Source organism: Homo sapiens, chromosome 18 (assembly GCF_000001405.40).
Source record: "Homo sapiens chromosome 18, GRCh38.p14 Primary Assembly".
Classification (NCBI taxonomy): Eukaryota; Metazoa; Chordata; class Mammalia; order Primates; family Hominidae; genus Homo; species Homo sapiens.
Genome location: NC_000018.10, coordinates 30762391 through 30772978, shown reverse-complemented (window position 1 = coordinate 30772978; position 10588 = coordinate 30762391). Strand labels below are relative to the sequence as shown.

The window sequence follows — 10588 nt, the reverse complement described above, 5'->3', positions numbered from 1 at the left end:
TCATGATAAAACTGATTTGCTTTATTATACTTGGCCTGATTATTTGTATAAAGTGCAGCAAGAATAATTATTTTTTACATAGGATTTTAAATTGGCTTTAATGGAACTTTGTTCCATAGAAGGAATCTCAGACGAGACTTTTTTAAAGCTGAGCCCAGCCATGGATTTGTACCCTCAAATAACTAAGAGTTGGGTAAATTCCTCTTCTTTTGTAGTCCCAAGATAACTTGGGGCTCCTGGACCTGTTAGAAAGTGACATTCTATACTTACCATGGTCAGAAACACTGTACAGGGACTGTGTAGGCAAGGTATGAGGCCAGCTCTCCAAGGGGCTTGTATTGGCTTTACAATCAAATTTGATTCATTAAAGGAAAGCATGCCATTCCAATTAAAGCCTTGGTAAAAGTAACCAATTTCTCTAATTGTGTCCTGTTGCAAAAGAAAACAGATTCTTACTGCACTTAACTATATTGCAATATAGTTATGCAAACAACTATATTGCTATAAGTTAAGAATGCTCACAAATAGTTTCCAAATTCTGGATAAATCAGGTAGAGAGAAACAAATATGCTCCAAATTTTGTTCACAGGAGTATACTTTACTCAATTGCTAAAAGCTTTAAATAGCTCAAAAGTTTCCTTGACTCTGAAAAACGAAACAAAGAATCAGCAACGTTTTAAGCAAAGTTAAAAAGATTACTTCAGACTTCTTTAGTTTATGCCGTTAACCCCTGTTCTGCTTGATATTTATGAACAATTCAGCTCTCTGTGAAAGTTTTTTCCTCTATTCTAACGTCACAGCCTCCAAAGTTATCAGAAACCTACACTTAAGAACACCTGCTAGAGTTCTATAGTTGATTATAAACCAACTTCTAAAGAGAACCGAAGCAAAAAAACAATTGTCAGTGGATGACAAAACGTGTTATAACAGCCACAGTCAAAAACACAACTGATAAATAAATTTGGTTACTTCTGTGGCATATAAAATTTGATGTAAACAATTATAATTATTAATAAAAAACACTAAGCCATATCAGAATTATAGAAGTTTTCCATAATTTTGGAACACATACCAATAACACATTTATACAAATATAGCCCAAAGAAAACCAAACACCATTTCATATTTGACAGTGCTTCCTGTCTGACTTTAATACCAAATAAGCCAAATGTCACTCTGTATTAGTGCATTATTGATGTCAAACCCAATTCTTAATAAAACCTTATAGACATATCTACCCAATTTTAATATTTGACCATAAGATAAGATTCTCATAAACCTTTTATAAGCCTTTATAAATTTTGTCAAAGAGCAGATCATAAGCAGATTTTTGCTCAAAGAAAAACCTACTGTGCTTTTACTCCAATGTTTAATTTATGGAAAAACTGAATTATACCCCTTTAACTTTAGCCAATATGTTCACACACAGAATTTCTTTACAAGATTAATTTTCACAAATCTTCCATAATTTGCTTAAACCATCAGCTTTAACTTAAGTTAAAACGATCCTTTAACCCTTTAATCTAGTCAAGAAAAATTCACATTCTCATGCCTTCTTATAATCTTTTACCAAAAACACATTTTACTTTCTTTACATGCCTTGTGTGTAGAACTGTTTTATTAGTAGTTTCAAACACATGTTACACTGTTAACTCTTAGCAACTTTTACTTTTGGTGAAAACTTTGGTAAGTCTGGGATTTTAATTATCTGCTAGATGTGAAGCCTACGACCCAGAGAGAAATGCAGATAAGGTCTAACTGTTTTCAGCATCTACCTTCATGTGTCCCAGGCCTTACCTAGAATCTAATGCTCCAAAATAAACTGAACAATTTCTAAAAGTCAAAGAAGCAGTTTATGACCTTAAAGCATTTGGCAAACCTAATATTTGACCTGCATAATTTAGAGCCAATGTTTACATTTTTATTTTACCAATAATCTTTAAAGTTGTTTGGGTTTCCAAAAAATTACTAATGTCACATGAACTAAATAAAAGGCATTCCACTTTTTATTTTTCTGACAAAATATTCAATTTAAGCATTTATTTTTATTGATCCAATTAAAGCTCATTCATATATAAATATTACAAACACAACACATATAAATACACAGACAGACAGAAGATAAACGACTCATTTTTAAAGCCAGGAATTGAACCCTAAACCTGGGCCACCATTGTGAAAAGAAAAAGCATGGCCACATGATTCCAAGTCAAGCTCCCAAGGACATGACCAACCAGTTTGCTGGCCATCTTGAACAGCAGGTCCTAAGCCCATGTCCTATCCTAAGCTACCTCTCTCCATTATAGAGCACAGAAAGACACACAAAGCACACCAAATTCACTACTACAGCTCCAGATTAGCCTCATGAATCCTTTTTCCAATTAATTAAACCTTTACAGAAGATAAACAGTGATTTTTAATATTCATTCAACCAGTTTGCACAGAAAAAGAGAGAGAGGAAAGCATTGCCTGTGGAATGATGGGGAAGGTGAGGTGCTCAAGAAGGCCAGAGAAAGACCCACCCATTGCAGTAACACTGAAAAGTTCAGGCAGCTGCTTCTCAGTAGCAAAAATATCTTTTCCAGCAGTCTCATCAGCTCTCACGTTTCCCCTTTTGGGGAGAAAGAAGCACTCCATGTGTCATGATCCTGTACATGCCTAATCCTGTCACCCACAGCCATCAGCAAAGGGTGCAAGAGAGATTAATCCAAAGAGAATAGCCGTTAACATCCCATAGTGCCAAACCCATTCTTAGTCAAAGGGGACTTTACTGAGAGAGGCCTCTAACCCCTTAAATCTTAGAAGGGACTCTAACCCTTCTAAATTGGGCCTCTAATTCAATCCCATTCTTTTCCCAGGTACCCCACCACTTACCCAGTTAGCCTTTGGGTCCAGGGTTTCTGCACTACAGTCGCTTCTGTGGTCATCAGAAATATGTTACATGAAAAGAGTCCTGATCCAGATCCCAAGAGAGGGTTCTTGGATCTCAAGCAAGGGAGAATTCAGGGCAAGTCCATAGTGCCAAGCAAAAGCAAGTTTATTAAGAAAGTAAAAGAATAAAAGAATGGCTACTCCATAGACAGAGAAGCCCCAAGGTCTACTGGTTACCCATTTTTATGGTTATTTCTTGATGATATGCTAAAGAAGGGATGAATTATTCATACCTGCCCCTTTCAGACCATCAAGGGTAACTTCCTGGCATTGCCATGGCATTTGTAATCTGTCATAGCACAGGTGGGAGTGTAGCAGCGAGGATGATCAGAGGTCACTCTTGTGGCCATCTTGGTTTTGGTGGGTTTTAGCCAGCTTCTTACTGCAGCCTGTTTCATCAGCAAGGTCTTTATGACCTGTATCTTGTGCTGATCTCCTATTTCATCCTGTGACCTAGAATGCCTTACCTCTCTGGGAATGCAGCCCAGTAAGTTTCAGCCTTATTTTACCCAGCTTCTATTGAAGATGGAGTTGCTCTGGTGAAAATACCTCTGACATGAAGACCATGACTCCTGACACAGCCCCAGAAGGCCCTGACAACACGTGCTCAAGGTGTTTAGGCTACAGCTTTGTTTTATACATTTTAGAAAGACATAAAATAACAATTAATACACATGAGGTACACAGTGGTTGGGTCTGAAAGTTGGGACAACTAGAAGCAGGGGCTTCCAGGTCATAGGCGGGTTAAAAGATTTTCGGATTGGCAATTGGTTGAAAGAGCAAAGTTATTATCTAAAGATCAGGAATCAATAGAAAGGATTATCTGTGTTAATATAAGAGGTTGTGGAGACCAAGATTTTTTTTTTTTTTTGAGATGGAGTCTCGCACTCTCGCCCGGGCTAGAGTGCAGTGGCATGATCTCAGCTCACTGCAACCTCTGCCTCCTGGGTTCACACCATTCTCCTGCCTCAGCCTCCCGAGTAGCTGGGACTACAGGTGCCTGCCACCATGCCTGGCTAATTTTTTGTATTTTTAGTAGAGATGGGATTTCACTGCGTTAGCCAGGATGGTCTCGATCTTCTGACCTCGTGATCCGCCCGCCTTGGCCTCCCAAAGTGCTGGGATTACAGGCATGAGCCACTGGGCCTGGCAGAGACCAAGCTTTTTATGATGCAAATGAAGCCTCCAGGTAGCAGGTTTCAAAACTCTTCTCAGATCTAAAAAGGTGCCAGACTCTTAGTTAATACTCTACTGGAGCAGGGAAAAGACCTGGAAAGGGAAGGGGATTCTCTACAGAATGTAGATTTTTCTCACAAGAGACAGCTTTTCAGGGCCACTTCAAAATATGTCAAAGAAATATATTTTAAGGTAAAATACTTCGATTTCTTTCAGGGCCTACTATCTGTCGTGTGATGCTATACTAGACTCAGGTTGGAATCTGGTATTTTATTACTACCAAGAGACTTCCTTGTCAGTTTTAAGATCTCTGTTTTACTGTTAATGCTGGGTCAGTTGTGCCAAATTCCAAAGGGAGGAAGCTATAATGAGGCATGTCTGATCCCCACTTCCCATCATTGCCTGAATTAGTTTTTCAGGTTAACTTTGGAACTCCCCTGGCCAAGAGAGAAGGTCTATCAGTCAGTTAGCGGGCTTACAATTTTATTTTGGTTTACATTGTGCTGTAAGCCTAGGTAGATTTTTTTCTCCCCTTAATCAATTTTATACTTTTCTAGGGGACGGTTTCAATTTCAGCAGTCAAGCTCTGGCAAGTGTTTCCCAGGCTGAGTTAACCTTTTCTCTGTGCCTAAATTTGTGCATATTTATTATAACAGATGGTGTATAACCACATAATAATTTCTGACAGTTGAAATTTGGTCATTAGAACAAAATTAAGTCAGGATAAATTCCAAAACTATATCACACAATGGAAGGTATTCGGACTATGAAACTGGAGGTTGTATTTATATACCAGCTTTGCCATGCACCAACTTGCTGCATAATTATAGTATCTACCTCCATGGGTTACTGTGAAGGTTAAATGAAATTGTGTGATGAGCACGGTATAAACTATAAAGTAAAAGTAGATCTGAATGGAGCTCAAGAACTGTTGTTGGGGTAAGTACATTTTCAAAGCCTTTCCAGGACTTAACATTTCATGCTTTGCTGATTTAGGATTTAAGGTAATATTGCAGGATTACTTTCTTTAATTTCCATAGTCTTTTTTATTCATTCTAAGTATTTATACTTCAGTTTCATTTGTTGAATTTTTAAATTTTATACTGCATGGATACTAACCTTTGTGAGTGGAACCAGATTAATTGATATCCATTGATGTGTCTGAGATTTAGTTAAAATTGGAAATGGGCCTATAAAGACATCTGGCATGAAAAATAAGTTGAAAGCATGATAGCTCTTTGACGGTAAAATGTATTTGATTTAGAATTGCTAAAAGATATCATTTTTTAGAGTTTCTTTAAAAGTTGGAACAATAGTATAGAAATTTGATTTTGCCTGGCTGAGAAACAAAGTGATAGATTCTATTTAGGATGAAATATTATTTCTTAAAACACTTTTTCTCTGTGAAAATGGAAAACATTGTGTATAGCATCAATTTCTTTTCTAAAAACATATTGGAGGATGCTAACATTACTTTTCTGATAGGGAAAAGGCAGGCTTTCCACTTTCTACAGAATGTATCCTCTTGACAATTATGCCACATGCTTAGATATACCAAATAAATTAGAACACTTGCCCTGGAGATGCCAGGTGTGTTACAGTAGGTAGCTAGTCAGACATGAGCAGGGTGGGAGAGTCCCCCCCACCACTAGGAATGTCAGGCAACCATCAGGTGATGGTCAGGTGGTTATTAAACTGCCTCTCTAAAATTATAATTGGTCACAGCCAGTGCCAGGGAAAAGCAGTCTCCCAATTGATAAAAACACCTAAAACTGGCAATCAGCAGCCTCCTAAGATCTCAGGAGTTGGGCAAGTGTCCTCAAGCATACTCATTAAGAGGCAAAATGGTGGAGTTTAACTGGTATATGACCTTCTATATGAACGTCTATGGATATTTGACTGGTAAGGGAAGAACGCCTCAAGTGAGCCTGCATAGAACTCCAATAAACACAACATGCATACTCACCTCCCAAGTGCTGGTAGGCCACTACACATGCACACAGCTTACCCCAAGGGAAGAATCAGGGGTAAAATAGTTAAATCAATTATGTTAGCATAATGTAAAATAAAACATAAAGAAATGTAATGAAAGTTCGAAAACAAAGTTACCAATGTTTTACATTTAAATGTAGCTAGTAAAAATTCCATAACTGTGATTTTAATATCAGGGGTTCCATCTTGAGACCAAGTAAGAATCAGATGAGCCTGGGCATGTCTAGTAAAATAAAGAATAAAAGCTTGCGTTAAAGCAAACTAAACATGTCCTGAGAAGGACTCCATACTTCTATATTTGAGTCCTTGTAGATGACCTGCAACCTAACTTAGTGGGTAGACAACCCTAACTTAGGAGTATGCACCTGTAACAGTGGCTGAGTCTTGGCCAATTCCAGCAGCCATACTTCAACCACTCATACACTGCTGAGTGTTCAAACTGAGTTGAAATGAGGTAAATGCCAACCTGTAATCAATTCATCTGTTTCTGTACCTTACCTCCAATTTCTGTATGTCACTTCCTTTTTTGTGTCCATAAATTTGTTCTGACCAGGAGGCATCACTGGAGTCTCTCTGAATCTGCTGTGATTCTGGGGGCTGCCCAGTTCATGAATCATTCATTGCTCAATTAAACTCCTTTAAATTTATTTTGGCTGAAGTTTTCTTTTAACACTTGGTTTGTTGCCAGTGTTCCAGCTACGTCAGGAATGAGTTATCTCTAAGGGAAATTTATTCAATTGGAAGAAAGAAGTAGCCATCATCATTGCATATAATTTAATGAGAAGACTACACTTTACAAGTACATCATTTTTGATATTGAATTGTTTGGCCCAAGACCATTATTATGGGGGCAGAGTCAACACTACCATGAGTCTCCATTAATAAAGCTGAAAACAAATCTATAACTCATTCTCCCACTTTATCACATGCTGCTCTCAGAAAACCGTAAGTTGTAGGGACCACAGAAGTATTTGATGGCACACTGGTAGACCCTGTAGTGCCACCCCTGCCTGAAAAACATGGTGCTGGATCAAACAGATGCATTGCTAAGCATATGTGAAGAATCAGAGTATCACAGAAATACTGAGAGAAAAATTTCCATGGAGCTGGTGATCTTTTGTCAAAGATATTAAGCCAATGATTGAGAAAAGTGAAGTTATTCCTCTTAATATGAGGCAGAGGCCTCAGGAAACTGGAAAACTCTCTAATAAATGACTGAATATCCCTGTCTTTTAAGAGGAAATTGTCTGAAGAAATTCTAATGATTTGTGTTTGGCCATTTGCATGAATATCTAAGAGCCTGGGCACTGGAGGAAGGCTGATGTTGGAAGGGTCTCGAAGAAAGTAGTTGGGTGGATTGACCTAGGTCTAGGCTCCTAAAAACTCTTAAGCTAACACATAACACATATTGCACAATATGGAATTTAGGCTTCTGAAAGCTGATTAGATTCCTGAAAGCTCTTGAGCAATCACATAAAACATATCGCACAATATGGAGTTTCCAACACCCGTTGAAATGCTCATTGCTCATCACAATGAGTCTCACTCTTTGGATTTCTGAAAGTATTGATGGCACCGACATATAGGGTTAGGAGAGCAAATTCAGCAACTGATTACTTCTTACCTGAGGGATGATTGGAGAAGCAATCTCTAAGTGGATGTGATGAACTTGGTTCTAAATTCATATTAATCCTAAATTCACATTAATAAAAATCCTAAGGAAAGTACACACTAAACTTTAGTATGTGCCTAGTAATCTGCTAAGTACTTTAAACAGATCATCTACTTTATTCCTTACAATTATCTTATAAAATAGGTATTGTTACTATCTCCTTTAGATAGTTGAACAACTGAGGCTCATAGGAGACCAAAGACTTGCCTAAGATTTCAGCATGTTTTAGGTACCAAGGATTGTGCTAAACACTTTACCTGCATTATTAAATTTAATCTTTAGAGCTGCTATTGAAAATAATGAATTCTGAGACTTCAGCTATGCAAATGTACCTGGACATATTTTCTTAAATATTATTTTTTAAGCACAGATTTACAATTCAGATGTGTTGCTAAGTGGTGTACATTAAGATAATAACTAAACTTTCTGAAGTTTGTTAGTCCAAAATGAATCCACCTTCTTTCTGCAAAATTAGAGCTCTTAAAATAACTGAACAATTCTTAAATAATAACTTATAGGAAAGGTATAAACTATAGATTACATTATAATAAATATTTAAAAACAATAAAGCTTGGCTGCTCATAGTTGGTTATTTTCTAAATTCGTTTTTTTCTTATTTATTTTATTATTTTTTTTGAAGGCACACTTAAATATGCTTCTTTTATCCTTGTAGAACTAATTAAACATTGTTAAAAAAAAAAGTTCCAGAGATGAGTAAACAGAATTATTTCATTTTGATATTACTACCAGCAACTAGAGAAGGAACAAAGACCCAGTCTGGATACTTAACTCCATGGACACAAAAGGTGAAGGGTTTTTAAGTGCTGTGGTGGACAAGCACTAGGGGACATTTAGTGGGTTATTGACGAATGGGAGTTGTGGAGCACACTATGTTATTCCTGAGTGTGAGACTGTGTTTCTCTGTGATTAGGTCCTCTGTGTTTGCTAATTGGTGCCCATTCAAGTTAGTCTCCTACCCTCCCACAGTCCCCTTCAGTATTTACATTTCAAAGAGATTGTTTCCAAGTCCTTGAGAAAGACATTTCCTGGGCTGTAAAACTGGTAGGCTGGGAGATTTACATTCCTTTCAAAGCGGCAGAAAGAATTTACAACTACAAGTTTTCTAAAGTAAATGGTAAATGCTCTAAGAAAAGGAAGGTCACGGACTTACAATCAGGAAGAAACCTATTTAATGTGTCATCAAGCTGAGGGGATCCTTAAGGCTGTGTTGGTCATCATTACCCTGATGTTTCTGGTTGTAAGTAAATACTTCTCAGCAGTGTCTATAGCATTTTGGTGATCCCCCAGTATTGTGTCAGCTGCAGTGGTAAAAGAGAAGCTCCTAATGTCCTTGTTCTGGCTAAGAGATTTTTCCAGCTCTCAGCTTTTCTACAAATCCAAGCAAACAGAGTTTGAGACTCAAGATTTATTTTTGCTGCTTTTTATCAATCTCTGCATTTTGTGCTACATTTAACCCAGTTATGCTTGGCTGTTCTGGAGGCAGCCTCTATTTTTACTCTGTGCCAACATTGAGACAATATTTTTATCAAATTACAGAAAGCTGATTTTGCAAAGTACCAGTGAATAATGTAGATTTTACTAAAGAATTTTGAGAGAAACAAAGGAGAAGAATTTAGGTCACATGAAATATACAATTCTAATATGCCTCACAAGCCCTCTACCCTTCATCCCTTTTGAACTTCCTGAGGCCATCTGTCCTTCTCTTGGAACAGATAAAATTCCCTTACAGTTTTCTCAGTGACAATCCCAGGGCCAGGAGAGACAGTGTCTGAATGTGTCTATCAAAATGTGCTCTCCACTGTTCCATCTTCTCACACAGTGGTCCCTTCCTCTAGGAGATTTTTCCACTAAGATAAAACAGATAGTTTCCTATCAGGTACATTTAAGTGCTTCTTCTCTAAATATGAATAGTAGTTTATATGTATTGAATATGAATAGTACTCAAACTTATAAAACTTGAAAGGAAAGTCTAAGGAAAGAATATGACTACATAAATTTTCAGCCAGGGCTAACTCACTGCTTCCTTGACCTGGGAGTCGCCTGTGAATTCTGGCATTTTCTTACCATGCATAATTAAATTACATTTCTGAGGTTCTCAGTATTCTGCTAAAGCTCTAAGGCAAATCATCTCAATCTTTTCCGAGTCCTTCCTTTAATATGGTCAAAGTTCAGTTTTGATCCCCTTTAATGAAGAATTAAAATAGGTGTCATAAAACAAGCCAGATCATACAAAATTTTAAATGTATCCTAATAGTCTAGTGACTTCATAAAATCTTTGTGCTTTTATTCTTTTTTTGAAAAGAATGTGGCAAAGCGAGATTTTACTGTTCAGGGATAAGTAATTCACAGATATTATTTTCAGGTCGTAACAGAGTTATTCAGCATAGCAACAGTTTTGTAGGAGCTGTTCCTAAGAAAATTATGGGCAATAGGTAGTACATAGAAAGAAAACCAAGACACATAATAAAAGGATAAAACCCAGACATTACATTGTCATAAGCTTCTTAGTGTCAGTAGAATCATACTTAGAGAATGAGGGCAAGGTATTCTCTTATGGCAAAAAAGTTCAGATCTTCTATTTTCTTTAAAATGGAAAGTTTATAAGACAACTACTGATTGGTTAAAAATCTCCTACTAGGAAGGACAATTTCCATTGTGTCAATTTGTACTCTGAGGACAATTGAACATTGTATCATTAACAGGCTTAAATTCCTAGACAAATCCAGAAATGCTGTTTTAATCTATATATATAGCTGGTAAAGTGTATAGATAGAATAAATTGCAATGGAACAAAGT

At 37.0% G+C, this 10588-nt stretch overlaps 1 annotated feature.

Annotated features, from left to right (window-relative positions):
- Nucleotides 8385–9371: an enhancer, noted in NCBI's record as "OCT4-NANOG hESC enhancer chr18:28343574-28344560 (GRCh37/hg19 assembly coordinates)". NCBI's record gives its function as "activates a minimal SCP1, AML or CMV promoter by ChIP-STARR-seq in naive and primed H9 embryonic stem cells {active_cell/tissue: H9 hESC(naive and primed)}" and the evidence as "EXISTENCE:reporter gene assay evidence [ECO:0000049][PMID:30033119]".